We start from the raw sequence: 15,566 nt of genomic DNA, 5'->3' as shown, positions 1-15,566 counted from the left end.
GTGCCAGTGAGGCCCCTTCCTTGAGGGCCCTTGTGGAGTGACAGTCCCCCTCTGCCCGCGCCCACCCTTTGCTCGCTGTACTTACCACTTGGGTGTGAGTGTGTGTTCACGGATGCTTCTCACAGTGCAATGCCAAGTCCTTGAGGGCAGGGCCTTCCATTATCCACCTGCTCTGAGAGCAGTGCCTGGCCTATAATCGGCTCAATAAAGTCAAAATGTAATAACTGAATTTGACCTATGTATTTTTAATGAATAAATGAATATAGGAAAGAATGCCATTGGATAATGTAATTAGCAGGTAGATAGAGTGGGACAGGTTTTTTATTATAATCTGTTTAATACTCTGACTTTGTTTAAAACAATGTGTATTATTTCTATACAAGCAAACGTTAAGCATTAGAGAAATCTAATGCTCCCATGGGAAGCCAACTCTTGCAACCTGCTGACCGGCCCAAAAGCTCTGAAAACTGTCCACGCCTTTTGTGTAATATCTGTTTCCATTAAGACTGAAAAAGCAAGCAGCGTCCCTCCTAGAAGCAAGCCTGTAGTGTCATTTTCCTGGTTGGATGTTGTGGCATTGGACTTGTTATCTGCCAGGTCTTTGGTAACTTCAAGGAATTAAATGTCTTCCTCTTAGAATTCTTTTCTTAAAAATCAAAGGTTTTCCTCTTCAAATAAAACATTAGCATTTTAATCACTAAGATTAACCCCCCCCCGCCCCTCTTTCATTGCCCCCCCACGTGTGAAACTGCCTTGGCCTCGCTTTTCACATTCTTAGGATAAAAGCTCTTTCTCCGCTCTAGGAGAGAGTGGGGCAGTTGTTGCCCTTTGAGGGCCATGAATAGCTTCCTGCATTTATAAATGTCCATGAAATTCTTGAAGGGATTGAAAAGTGCCCTGCGCAAAAGTGTCATGAGAAAAGCAAAGTTTCAGTGGAAAACTCAATCCATTTAAACGATCTAGAGGGGAAATGGGCAAAACGGCTCTGCAGTGTTTTATTTTAAATATAATTGCAACTCCAGAATGAGAATGTGTTCTACCGTACAACTGTTTCTACATAAGTAATCGTGTCATGGTTTCCCTTCTGTTAAAGATTCTGCCTTCCTTTTATTATTAAATACATTATTTCCTGATTTTAGTGAATCTAGTGAAAAAGAAAAGTAGCTTCCCGTTACTAACAAAGCTGTTTTGTTTAAAATGCCCTGATGTAACAGGTAGGTGCTGCTATTGCAGAAGATTTAGAAATCCTACAAGGGGGATTATTATTAGTAAACAGCACATTATGACACATTTAAACCTTTTCTAGAATTTTCGAAGGAGAATGCTTACAATTTTAAACACATAAAAGGAAGCATTGATTCCTTTTCCTATGTTTTATCACTACGTGTTATTCCTACATTTTGAAGTTTTTCACAGTTTAAGCTTATGTACATTTCAGAAAATTTACTAGAAAAGAGCAATTCACTTCAAATGCAGGAGTCGTAAACTCTCCGGGCCTTTGGAGTACATACCTCCTACAAGCTAACCACAAAATCTAAGGGAGTGCAGAGCAAAGAACGAACTTCCACATATTAGTGACATGAAGTATCTCTTCCACCAATGGGATGCTTTAGACAATGTATGCAATGCTTGTTTTCTATACCTTGGCTCTCGGGCTGGCTCTCACTGGAAAGGATTATGTGTAAAGAGAGTTGTTCAGCCCAGGCTTCCCAGCTGCCTCCTGTAGGCCCACTCCAGCCCATCAGCCTTTTTCGCCTCTTCTCCCCTCTTGTCGTCACACCTGTTTTGGGCTGGCCACCTGCCCCGTGTGAATGAAGACACCCCTTGAACTTTGGCCTCACCTCTGCAGTCACCTTCAGAGTCCCATCTGAGCCCCCTTCCCACCCCCAGCGCTGTGCCCCCAATCCCTGGGCCACCTCTTATGAGACTGCCCTGTCTGGGGAAGGACGCCTAAGTGCATTGGTCCTATGAAAAATTTACCACCTTTGTGATTTATTTTCTGTCTGTTTGTAAGCCCACATTAGCCATTCTGAAAGAAATTTGCATCATTTTCTGCATCATTTTCAAAAACCTGCCCAACTGCCCTTGCGCCACCACGGGCTGGTCCTCCATATCTCTGTGGCAGAGATGGTGCTCAGCCAGCAATACACACACAGCCCTGCCCTTCGGTTTGCTGGTAGGAGGTAGGCCAGCCAAGAGCTCTTGCTGGGTCCTGCTGGAACCCCCACCACCCACCCCGCTCAGACACCTGCTGAGCCATCCGTGCCGTAGTCTGTCCAGGAAGGCAGGTGGACCTGCCTCTGCCGTGTGTGGCAGACAACCCCTTCTGCCCCTTCTGTGCTCACCTCTGGTATCAGCAGCTGCAGCTTGTGAACCCAACCCACTTTTTTTTTTTTTCTTTTTGAGACAGTCTCGCTCTGTCGCCTAGGCTGGAGTCTCAGCTCACTGCAACCTCCACCTCCTGGATTCAAGCAATTCTCCTGCCTCAGCCTCCTGAGTAGCTGGGATTTCAGGTGCACGCCACCACACCTGGCTAATTTTTGTACTTTTAATAGAGACAGGGTTTCATCATGTTCGTCAGGCTGGTCTCAAACTCCTGATCTCGGGATCTGCCCACCTCGGCCTCCCAGAGTGCTGGGATTACAGGCATGAGCCACTGCGCCTGGCCCAACCCACTCTTTTTGAAAACTGGAGCTGCATTTCCATGTCCTGTCTTCCTGCAGGTGTCCTGTCCTGAGGGTCCTGACTCTGACCACTAAAGACGCAGGCACTGGCCCCAGGGCCCTTATTCCTCTTTGCTGGCATGCACCTGCTTTGGGGCTTTGGGGCATAGCTGTTTCTGGTGTAGCTGCTGTCCTGCATTATCCTCTCCCCTCGAGGGGTACAGAGTGTCAATGAGGTAGGCTAAGACCCTGTGAGATGCTCTGCTTCCTGGGGGATGGCAGCAACTATTTGGGGCTAAACTGGAACTGTATATATTTATTTATATATAAATATTTATTAAAAATTAATTTATTCATACAACTTTATATATTTTATTCCATTTACCATCACCATATCAGCGTGAGGAAGGGGTTATTTTCATTTCTCAGAAAGGGGAATGGTCTCTGCAAAGGCTATCCCCTGCTAAGGTCACCAGCTGGTAGGTGGTAGGGCAGGGGTTCCACCTGGCCACAAACAGTGGCTCTTGCACCAAGCTGTGCTGCCCCAGGCAGGTGGCAGGTGGCCAAAACCCTCGGGACAATTGTCCTGCCTATTCACCAGTTCTGAGTTTGCCTCAGAGTCTCCCCAGGCTTTCCCCACCTCTCCTGAGAGTCTAGCTTTTCCCGGGTCTCACAGCACCTTATCCCTGCCCCTTTCCTTGTCCATCCCTTTTGCCAGTTCCTGGTCCTCTGTGGTTTGTTCAGAGACTCAACCCCTCCTTCCCATTAGTTTGCCCATGTAATTCTCTGGGGAAACGTCTCTATGCTAGGTCTTCACGTTTGATGGCTCTGGGTCTCCAGCAGCCAGATTTGTGCTTCTGTCTGTGACTATGACTTTCCTCCCAATGTAGAGTTAGAGCACCACCCTCTCCCTTCTCGGTCAGTGGGTCATGCCATGCTTGTCAGGGAAGCCATGCTGAGAAGCCTCCCTCATTCATTCACCACCCCCTGCCTTGGAGGCCTGCAGCCTCTGCTGTCTTCACAAGGGGCAGCCCTTGTCCCTTAGAGGTTGGGAGCCTCTGTCTGTGCCCTGGGTCCTCAGCTGCCTTCCTAGGTTGAAGGTCATCAGAACCCTAAAGGCAGCTCCCAGTGAAGTGGCCAGACTGGGTGGCGGTTGTCAGCTTCACAAATTCCAGCAAATTTCCTTTACATTCTCGACATAGATTCCAGAAAGATGTCTCCTTCCCCAAATGACAAGTCTTGGCTTCCCATGGGAGACCTCTTCCAAGTCCCACGTCGAGGATCCAGCTATTCCACACCTCAGCATACATTTGGAACCTCCCTTCTGAGAAAGGAGCTCTATTTCCATTTATTTTAGTGATGGGAAATTATTCTTACTTTGTCTAGGGTCATGTTTCTCCAGGTCCACCCTCCTAACCACCAGGAAGAGGCAAAAGGGAAATTTTAAATATGTGTGATTTCAAAAACATCCAAAAAGTAATTCAGAAATTTAGCTGTTGAATTAGGGAGAAATACTGGGTACTTGTGTGTTTAGTGTTGTCTGTTTTGTAATAGGAGGCAAGGGATAATTCCTGGAGAGTTCAACAGGCAACAAAATCTTTCGTATTTTAGTGAATCATTTGAAGAAAAAAAGTAAGATAAAACATTACAAAAAAGGTCATCTGTGATTGTATAATCCCAGCATTAACATATTGTTTTTACATGATTATAATAATACAGTAGAATACTATTGTATCACACTTAAAAAATATTGAGTAAACTAAAACTCAATATTTTTACATCAGCAGTTTTTTTTCTTTTTTTAGTGCATTTACAAGCACATATATGAATCTCATCTGTCCAGCTTATTTTATTCAAACTTTTATCCTATGCAATAACATATAAAGTTAGGCTTATGTTTATATTGCAATAACTTACAATTAACCTACGTCTTTTTAAAATTTCATTAACCTATATCTTTTTAAAATTTTTTCTTTTTCTTTTTCTTTACCCTTCTGGAGTGTAGAAATCTGGATGAAAAAAGATGAGTCTTGGAATTTCTCTCAGGACTATGATCCAGAACTGATCAAAGAGGAGAAACGAAAAGAATTACAGTCAGAGATCAGGATACAGGTACAGCTACGTTTATGGTGTAGTAACAGCAAATCATTTACTTCAACCATTGTGCTTCTTTACAATTTCCTACTAATGACCTACCCCATAATTTAAGGGATTTTTAAACTTCACAAACAAAACACAAGACATGCAAAGTGACTTAAAAGTAGTATGTTTTGTATTCTCCTAGGTTGATGAGTTGATGAGACAGGAACTTAAAAACTTAAAGCTAGCTGTGGACAGAGAAAGGGAGCGCCCAGTGAAAGCAGGAAAGAAAAAGGACAAGGTGAGTGGGGAAGGAGCCTGCAGAGGGGTGCGGTGGAGCGGATTCAGTCATGAAAAGCAGCCCCTGACATGCTGTGGCATGTCCAGGAGGGCCGCCTGTTGCCAGGACACCTCACGGGGAAACATGCCTGCCTTTGGTAAATTTAATTGGTCCACCATTTAACCTTTGGGCCTGTGGATTCATAAATAGGATAAACCCAACCATCTGAGAGTAACATCTCCCCAGCCCCGGTCAGTTGCAGATTCATATTACCCAAGCCCCACTGATAGAATGGGAACTATCAAAAGAGCCAAAGCACATTCCCCAAACAGCCCCCAACTGTTCCTGTACATAGATCTATAAGGGAGGCCAATGGTAATGAGCAGGTTTTTGTGAGTGAGGGAATCATAGGGAAAGGAATTGGATGAATTGGAAGTGTAAGTTGCCACCAATCCATCTCACAGTGGTTTAGAGTAGCTAGTTAGATCAGGGTATTTGAAGTTCATTTAGTTTGGCCCCTGCTTCTACCTTCATTCCAGAGACAGCCCTGTCATTGGAGCCAGAATACCCAAGGTAGAGGGCGGAGAGTTCTCCCTGTCAGTGCTGGCATGAGCATAGGCAGCCTTTGCTTCTGTGGCAGCTTTCTCCACGTTCCATGACTGGAGCCACTCTTTCTGTGATTCACACATTTTCTCTTAGAGGTTTCCACACATTCAGCTGCATTTGTGACTACTTTTGCTAGATCAGGGGCCATGCATGTGGTCTTTTTAGGATGACTGGCTCTTGATCCATTTTGTGTTGATATTATGGTTTAACCCTGAAGGCAACTGAATTGGTGTTCTGAAGATCTTTCACTGTAAGCTGAAAACACCAATTTAATAACCATCCATAGATGAAAGTAACTTCACAAGAGCTCTGGGATTCAGGTGAGAGGCTGCAGCACCTGGGTGGAGCACAGAATCATAAAAAAAAAGATGCACTGAAGAGAGTAAGAATGAAAGTTTCACTTTACCCATGTCACCCCAAAGCCCACACAGCCTAGTGCCAAGAGAGATCTCCTAGACCCATGAGTTTTATCTTGGAAGAAAGGGACAGAGAAGTGAACATCTGACTTCACCATGGAGCTCAGCACCAGGCCAGTGAAACCCAGTACCATGGGCCTCCCACAAACCCTGACACCAGGCCCACCCACAAAAATCAGCACTGGGCCTGTCTTTGGACCCCAGAACCATGGGCCTCCCACAAACCCTGGGTGCACCTTGCTTCTATGGCAGCTTTCTCCACTTTTGTGGTGTAGTAATAGCAAGTCATTTACTGCAACCATTGTGCTGCTTTATTTTTGTGGGCCCACCCACAAAAATCAGCGTTGGGCCTGTCTTTGGATCCCAGAACCAGAAAAGAATCAAAGTATATCACTACAAAACATCGTTAAGTTACACAGCAACTTGTAACTTCAGAGAAGAACAAAAGAACCTCAAAATAGAAATAACCTAACAAAATGGCAAAAGTAAGTCCTTACCTTTCAAAAAATACTTCAGATGTATATGGATTAAACTCACCAATCAAAAGATACAGAGTCACTGAATGGATTTTAAAAATCCAACTATATGCTATATACATGTGATTCATTTCAGATTTAGGGACACATAGGCTGAAAGTGAAGGGATGGAAAAAAGATATCTCATGCAAATAATAAGCAAAAGAGAGAAGAAATGGCTATACTTAGACAAAATAGACGTCAAATCAAAAACTATCACAAGAAACCAAAAAGATCATTAACTAATGATAAAAGGGTCAATTCAATAGGAAGATATAACAATTATATATACACCTTTAATCAAAGCACCTAAATATATGAAGTAAATATTAACATATCTGAAGGGAGAAATAGACAGCAATACAATAATAGTAGGAGAACTCACTATCCCACTCTCAGTAATGAATGTATCATCCAGACAGAAAATCAATAAGGAAACAGCAGACTTGAATAATACTAGGGACCAGATAGTCCTAACAGTTATTGTACCCAACAGCACCAGAATACACATTCTTCTCGAGTATGCATGGAACATTCTCCAGGATATATCACATGCTAAGTCACAAAACAAGTCTTAATAAATATAAGAATATTGAAAACATTCCAAGTAACTTCCAGCTGCAATGAAATGAAACTAGAAATCAATAACAAAAAGAATACAGAAAAATTCACAAATATGCGGAAATTAAACAACACACTCTTGAATAACCATTGAGTCAAAGAAAAAAATTCGCAGGGAAATTAGAAAATATCTCAAGACAAAAATGACAGGCAGAGGAGCCAAGATGGCCGAATAGGAACAGCTCCGGCCTACAGCTCCCAGTGTGAGCGACGCAGAAGACGGGTGATTTCTGCATTTCCATCTGAGGTACCGGGTTCATCTCACTAGGGAGTGCCAGACAGTGGGCACAGGTCAGTGGGTGCGCGCACCGGTCGCGAGCCGAAGCAGGGCGAGGCATTGCCTCACTCGGGAAGCGCAAGGGGTCAGGGAGTTCCCTTTCTGAGTCAAAGAAAGGGGTGACGGACGGCACCTGGAAAATTGGGTCACTCCCACCCGAATACTGCGCTTTTCCGACGGGCTTAAAAAACGGTGCACCACGAGATTATATCCGGCACCTGGCTCCGAGGGTCCTACGCCCATGGAGTCTCGCTGGTTGCTAGCACAGCAGTCTGAGATCAAACTGCAAGGCGGCAGCGAGGCTGGGGGAGGGGCGCCCGCCATTGCCCAGGCTTGATTAGGTAAACAAAGCAGCCGGGAAGCTCGAACTGGGTGGAGCCCACCACAGCTCAAGGAGGCGTGCCTGCCTCTGTAGGCTCCACCTCTGGGGGCGGGGCACAGACAAACAAAAAGACAGCAGTAACCTCTGCAGACTTAAATGTCCCTGTCTGACAGCTTTGAAGAGAGCAGTGGTTCTCCCAGCAGGCAGCTGGAGATCTGAGAACGGGCAGACTGCCTCCTCAAGTGGGTCCCTGACCCCTGACCCCCGAGCAGCCTAACTGGGAGGCACCCCCCAGCAGGGGCATACTGACACCTCACACAGCTGGGTACTCAAATAGACCTGCAGCTGAGGGTCCTCTCTGTTAGAAGGAAAACTAACAAACAGAAAGGACATCCACACCAAAAACCCATCTGTACATCACCATCATCAAAGACCAAAAGTAGATAAAACCACAAAGATGGGGAAAAAACAGAACAGAAAAACTGGAAACTCTAAAAAGCAGAGCGCCTCTCCTCCTCCAAAGGAACGCAGTTCCTCACCAGCAATGGAACAAAGCTGGATGGAGAATGACTTTGACGAGCTGAGAGAAGAAGGCTTCAGACGATCAAATTACTCTGAGCTACGGGAGGACATTCAAACCAAAGGCAAAGAAGTTGAAAACTTTGAAAAAAATTTAGAAGAATGTATAACTAGAATAACCAATCCAGAGAAGTGCTTAAAGGAGCTGATGGAGCTGAAAACCAAGGCTCGAGAACTACGTGAAGAGTGCAGAAGCCTCAGGAGCCGATGCGATCAACTGGAAGAAAGGGTATCAGCAATGGAAGATGAAATGAATGAAATGAAGCGAGAAGGGAAGTTTAGAGAAAAAAGAATAAAAAGAAATGAGCAAAGCCTCCAAGAAATATGGGACTATGTGAAAAGACCAAATCTACGTCTGATTGGTGTACCTGAAAGTGATGGGGAGAATGGAACCAAGTTGGAAAACACTCTGCAGGATATTATCCAGGAGAACTTCCCCAATCTAGCAAGGCAGGTCAACGTTCAGATTCAGGAAATACAGAGAACGCCACAAAGATACTCCTCGAGAAGAGCAACTCCAAGACACATAATCGTGAGATTCACCAAAGTTGAAATGAAGGAAAAAATGTTAAGGGCAGCCAGAGAGAAAGGTCGGGTTACCCTCAAAGGGAAGCCCATCAGACTAACAGCTGATCTCTCGGCAGAAACCCTACAAGCGAGAAGAGAGTGGGGGCCAATATTCAACATTCTTAAAGAAAAGAATTTTCAACCCAGAATTTCATATCCAGCCAAACTAAGCTTCATAAGTGAAGGAGAAATAAAATACTTTACAGACAAGCAAATGCTGCAGATTTTGTCACCACCAGGCCTGCCTTACAAGAGCTCCTGAAGGAAGCACTAAACATGGAAAGGAACAACCGGTACCAGCCACTGCAAAATCATGCCAAAATGTAAAGACCATCGAGACTAGGAAGAAACTGCATCAACTAACGAGCAAAATAACCAGCTAACGTCATAATGACAGGATCAAATTCACACATAACAATATTAACTTTAAATGTAAATGGACTAAATGCTCCAATTAAAAGACACAGACTGGCAAATTGGATAAAGAGTCAAGACCCATCAGTGTGCTGTATTCAGGAAACCCATCTCACATGCAGAGACACACACAGGCTGAAAATAAAAGGATGGAGGAAGATCTACCAAGCCAATGGAAAACAAAAAAAGGCAGGGGTTGCAATCCTAGTCTCTGATAAAACAGACTTTAAACCAACAAAGATCAAAAGAGACAAAGAAGGCCATTACATAATGGTAAAGGGATCAATTCAACAAGAAGAGCTAACTATCCTAAATATATATGCACCAATACAGGAGCACCCAGATTCATAAAGCAAGTCCTGAGTGACCTACAAAGAGACTTAGACTCCCACACATTAATAATGGGAGACTTTAACACCCCACTGTCAACATTAGACAGATCAACGAGACAGAAAGTCAACAAGGATACCCAGGAATTGAACTCAGCTCTGCACCAAGCGGACCTAATAGACATCTACAGAACTCTCCACCCCAAATCAACAGAATATACATTTTTTTCATCACCACACCACACCTATTCCAAAATTGACCACATACTGGGAAGTAAAGCTCTCCTCAGCGAACATAAAAGAACAGAAATTATAACAAACTATCTCTCAGACCACAGTGCAATCAAACTAGAACTCAGGATTAAGAATCTCACTCAAAACCACTCAACTACATGGAAACTGAACAACCTGCTCCTGAATGACTACTGGGTACATAACGAAATGAAGGCAGAAATAAAGATGTTCTTTGAAACCAACGAGAACAAAGACACAACATACCAGAATCTCTGGGACGCATTCAAAGCAGTGTGTAGAGGGAAATTTATAGCACTAAGTGCCCACAAGAGAAAGCAGGAAAGATCCAAAATTGACACCCTAACATCACAATTAAAAGAACTAGAAAAGCAAGAGCAAACACATTCAAAAGCTAGCAGAAGGCAAGAAATAACTAAAATCAGAGCAGAACTGAAGGAAATAGAGACACAAAAAACACTTCAAAAAATTAACGAATCCAGGAGCTGGTTTTTTGAAAGGATCAACAAAATTGATAGACCGCTAGCAAGACTAATAAAGAAAAAAAGAGAGAAGAATCAAATAGATGTAATAAAAAATGATAAAGGGGATATCACCACCGATCCCACAGAAATACAAACTACCATCAGAGAATACTACAAACACCTCTACGCAAATAAACTAGAAAATCTAGAAGAAATGGATAAATTCCTGGACACATACATTCTCCCAAGACTAAACCAGGAAGAAGTTGAATCTCTGAATAGACCAATAACAGGAGCTGAAATTGTGGCAATAATCAATAGCTTACCAACCAAAAAGAGTCCAGGACCAGATGGATTCACAGCCGAATTCTACCAGAGGTACAAGGAGGAGCTGGTACCATTCCTTCTGAAACTATTCCAATCAATAGAAAAAGAGGGAATCCTCCCTAACTCATTTTATGAGGCCAGCATCATTCTGATACCAAAGCCAGGCAGAGACACAACAAAAAAAGAGAATTTTAGACCAATATCCTTGATGAACATTGATGCAAAAATTCTCAATAAAATACTGGCAAAACGAATCCAGCAGCACATCAAAAAGCTTATCCACCATGATCAAGTGGGCTTCATCCCTGGGATGCAAGGCTGGTTCAATATACACAAATCAATAAATGTAATCCAGCATATAAACAGAACCAAAGACAAAAACCACATGATTATCTCAATAGATGCAGAAAAAGCCTTTGACAAAATTCAACAACCCTTCATGCTAAAAACTCTCAATAAATTAGGTATTGATGGGACGTATTTCAAAATAATAAGAGCTATCTATGACAAACCCACAGCCAATATCATACTGAATGGGCAAAAACTGGAAGCATTCCCTTTGAAAACTGGCACAAGACAGGGATGCCCTCTCTCACCACTCCTATTCAACATAGTGTTGGAAGTTCTGGCCAGGGCAATTAGGCAGGAGAAGGAAATAAAGGGTATTCAATTAGGAAAAGAGGAAGTCAAATTGTCCCTGTTTGCAGACGACATGATTGTATATCTAGAAAACCCCATTGTCTCAGCCCAAAATCTCCTTAAGCTGATAAGCAACTTCAGCAAAGTCTCAGGATACAAAATCAATGTACAAAAATCACAAGCATTCTTATACACCAACAACAGACAAACAGAGAGCCAAATCATGAGTGAACTCCCATTCACAGTTGCTTCAAAGAGAATAAAATACCTAGGAATCCAACTTACAAGGGATGTGAAGGACCTCTTCAAGGAGAACTACAAACCACTGCTCAACGAAATAAAAGAGGATACAAACAAATGGAAGAACATTCCATGCTCATGGGTAGGAAGAATCAATATCGTGAAAATGGCCATACTGCCCAAGGTAATTTACAGATTCAATGCCATCCCCATAAAGCTACCAATGACTTTCTTCACAGAATTGGAAAAAACTACTTTAAAGTTCATATGGAACCAAAAAAGAGCCCGCGTCGCCAAGTCAATCCTAAGCCAAAAGAACAAAGCTGGAGGCATCACACTACCTGACTTCAAACTATACTACAAGGCTACAGTAACCAAAACAGCATGGTACTGATACCAAAACAGAGATATAGATCAATGGAACAGAACAGAGCCCTCAGAAATAACGCCAAATATCTACAACTATCTGATCTTTGACAAACCTGAGAAAAACAAGCAATGGGGAAAGGATTCCCTATTTAATAAATGGTGCTGGGAAAACTGGCTAGCCATATGTAGAAAGCTGAAACTGGATCCCTTCCTTACACCTTATGCAAAAATCAATTCAAGATGGATTAAAGACTTAAACGTTAGACCTAAAACCATAAAAACCCTAGAAGAAAACCTAGGCATTACCATTCAGGACATAGGCATGGGCAAGGACTTCATGTCTAAAACACCAAAAGCAATGGCAACAAAAGCCAAAATTGACAAATGGGATCTAATTAAACTAAAGAGCTTCTGCACAGCAAAAGACACTACCATCAGAGTGAACAGGCAACCTACGAAATGGGAGAAAATTTTCGCAACCTACTCATCTGACAAAGGGCTAATATCCAGAATCTACAATGAACTCAAACAAATTTACAAGAAAAAAAGACCCCATCAAAAAGTGGGTGAAGGACATGAACAGACACTTCTCAAAAGAAGACATTTATGCAGCCAAAAAACACATGAAAAAATGCTCAGCATCACTGGCCATCAGAGAAATGCAAATCAAAACCACAATGAGATACCATCTCACACCAGTTAGAATGGCAATCATTAAAAAGTCAGGCAACAACAGGTGCTGGAGAGGATGTGGAGAAATAGGAACACTTTTACACTGTTGGTGGGACTGTAAACTAGTTCAACCATTGTGGAAGTCAGTGTGGCGATGCCTCAGGGATCTAGAACTGGAAATACCATTTGACCCAGCCATCCCATTACTGGGTATATACCCAAAGGACTATAAATCATGCTGCTATAAAGACACATGCACACGTATGTTTATTGTGGCATTATTCACAATAGCAAAGACTTGGAACCAACCCAAATGTCCAACAATGATAGATTGGATTAAGAAAATGTGGCACATATACACCATGGAATACTATGCAACCATAAAAAATGATGAGTTCATGTCCTTTGTAGGGACATGGATGAAATTGGAAATCATCATTCTCAGTAAACTATCGCAAGAACAAAAAACCAAACACCGCATATTCTCACTCATAGGTGGGAATTGAACAATGAGATCACATGGACACAGGAAGGGGAATATCACACTCTGGGGACTGTTGTGGGGTGGGGGGAGTGGGGAGGGATAGCATCGGGAGATATACCTAATGCTAGATGATGCGTTAGTGGGTGCAGCGCACCAGCATGGCACATGTATACATATGTAACTAACCTGCACAATGTGCACATGTACCCTAAAACTTAAAGTATAATAAAAAAAAAAGTTGTTTTAAAAACAAAACAAAAAAAAAAAAAATGACCACACAACATACCAAGAATTATAGGATGTAGCAAAGGCAATACTAAGAGGGAAGTTTTTCACAATAAATGCCTACATTAAAAAAGAACAATCTCAAATAACCAACATACCTCAAGGAACTAGATCAAGAGGAGAATATTAAACCCAAAGCTAGCACAAGACAGGAAATAACAAAGATTAGAGCAGAAATCCATGAAATAGAGAATAGATAGACAATAGGAAAAAATGATAAAACTAAGAGCTGGTTTTCTGAAAGGATTTTAAAAATTGACAAACTCTGTGCTAGACTAAGAAAAAGATGAGATTTAAATACCTTCAGAAATAGAACAGAGGAAATTACAACCAATGTCAAAGAAACGAAAAAGATCATAAGAGACTGTTATGAACAATTATATGCTAATAAGTTGGACAACCTAGAAGAAATGGATACATTCTTAGAAATATACAACCTACCAAGACCAAATCTAGAAGAAATAGAAAGCTTCAACACACCAATAACAAATAAAGACGTTAGATCAGTACTCCAAAACCTTCCTGGGATCCTGGAAAACAAAAGGATATTAGGGAAAAATTAGTGGAAACCTAATAAACTTCGGGTTTTTATTGATAATATTATACCAATGTTGGTTTCTTAGTTGTGACAAATGTCCCATACTTGATGTAAGATGTTAATATGGAAAATTATGTGAGAGGTATTTCTGTACTGTTTTTGTAATTTTTCTGTAAATCTAAAACTATTATAAGGTTAAAAGGTTTTGTTTACAGATGACATTATTTTCTTGTGGAAAATCCCAAGGAATCTACAAACTCCAAATCAGCTTACATCAGCAAGGGTGCAGGATATAAGATAAACATGCAAAAATCAATTATATTTCTACATATCATCAATGAATACATAGACACCAAAGTTAAAATGGAATGTGATTTTTAAATCACTCAAAAAATGAAATACATATGTGTAAATCTAACAAAACAGGTATAGGACTTGTATGTTAAAACTGCACAATGCCAGTAAAGAAATCAAAGCAGATCTGAATAGACAGACATACCATATTCATGAATTGGAAGACTCAACATAGTAAAAATGTCCATTAGGATATTTTTATAGGATAGGATTAATGCAATTCTATCAAAATCCCAGAAATATAATTTGTAGACATAGACAAATTTATTCTAAAATTTTTATGGAAAGGTAATGGAACTAGAATAACTAAAGCAATTTTGAAAAAGAAGAATAAAGTGAGAAGGACCAATTTACTCAATTTTAAGGCTTATCATATTGCTACAGTAATCAAGACTGTATGCTATTGGTAAAGAGCTAAACACATAGATCAGTGGAACAGGACAGAGATCCTAGAAATAGGCCCACACAAACATGCCTACCTGACTTTTGATGAAGGTGCAAAAGCAATTCAAAGGAGGAAAGAGACACTTTTGAATAAGTAGTGCCAGAGTAACTGGAGATCCATAAGCAAAAAGAAATGGACCTCAACCTAAGTCTCACACATTATATAAAAATTAATTCAAAATGGGTCACAGACTTAACTTTTAGAAAAACAAAAAGAGAAGACTTTGGGGGCTAGGCTAGATAAAGAGTTCTTAGAATTAGCATCCAAAACACAATTTTTAAAAGGAAATATTGGACTTCATCAAAACTAAAGATGATTGCTCTGTGAAAGACCCTGTTAAGAGGATAAAAAGACAAGCTACAGACTGGGAGGAAATATTTGCAAACCACATATCTGACAAAGATCTAGTATTCATATACTAGACATATATAGAACTCTGAAACAATAAACATATAAAGAACTCTCAAAACTCAGAAGTTAAGAAACAAGCAACCCAATTAGAAAACAAGTGAAAGACATAAAGAGACATCACACTGAAGAGGATGTACAGATGGCAAATAAGCACATGAAATAAGCACATTTGAAGCATGTCTCTCTAGGCTGTCACAAGTACCTGAGTGCAAAGCCCCTTGGGAACTAGAGGTAGACTGTTGCCAGGCCCTGAGGGCTCCAGATGTGGGGCTAGATGCCAACAGAGAAAGGTGATTGGGACTGCCTTAGTCTGTTTGGACTGCTATAACAACGTTCTTAGGCTGAGTAATTTATAAACAACAGAAATTAATAGCTCATAGTTCTGGGAGCTGCGAAAGGCGATTGGGTACTGCCTTAG

The 15,566-nt window shown here is 41.5% G+C and overlaps 1 protein-coding gene and 1 long non-coding RNA gene across 11 annotated transcripts in view, besides 1 other annotated feature; one reads left to right on the top strand and one right to left on the bottom strand.

The window, feature by feature from the left end:
- Window positions 1–15,566, top strand: part of DRC11 (dynein regulatory complex subunit 11) — a 200,792-nt gene that overhangs the window by 110,458 nt on the left and 74,768 nt on the right. For all 10 annotated transcript variants that reach the window (XR_007081589.1, NR_073043.2, NM_001270584.2 and 7 more), the window contains 2 exons: window positions 4,669–4,775; window positions 4,948–5,043. Coding sequence is in view for 8 of the 10 variants with exons in the window: in NM_001270584.2 (NP_001257513.1) it covers window positions 4,669–4,775; window positions 4,948–5,043 (203 nt within the window). In the remaining 2 variants the exon portion in view is untranslated. The remainder of the gene's footprint in view (window positions 1–4,668; window positions 4,776–4,947; window positions 5,044–15,566) is intronic.
- Window positions 4,426–5,625: an enhancer, noted in NCBI's record as "MED14-independent group 3 enhancer chr2:237300037-237301236 (GRCh37/hg19 assembly coordinates)". NCBI's record gives its function as "activates an origin of replication core promoter dependent on BRD2, BRD4, P300/CBP and CDK7 cofactors, and independent of MED14, by STARR-seq in HCT116 cells {active_cell/tissue: HCT116}" and the evidence as "EXISTENCE:reporter gene assay evidence [ECO:0000049][PMID:35650434]".
- On the bottom strand, window positions 4,643–5,945 carry IQCA1-AS1 (IQCA1 antisense RNA 1). Its single transcript, NR_174961.1, has 2 exons — window positions 5,551–5,945; window positions 4,643–4,724 (listed from the first exon to the last, which is right to left on the bottom strand). It is a non-coding gene; the product is annotated as an IQCA1 antisense RNA 1 (long non-coding RNA).

Source organism: Homo sapiens, chromosome 2 (genome assembly GCF_000001405.40).
Source record: "Homo sapiens chromosome 2, GRCh38.p14 Primary Assembly".
NCBI classification, from domain to species: domain Eukaryota; kingdom Metazoa; phylum Chordata; class Mammalia; order Primates; family Hominidae; genus Homo; species Homo sapiens.
The sequence above is the reverse complement of the archived record's forward strand: the minus strand, read 5'-3'. Positions and strand labels throughout refer to the sequence as shown.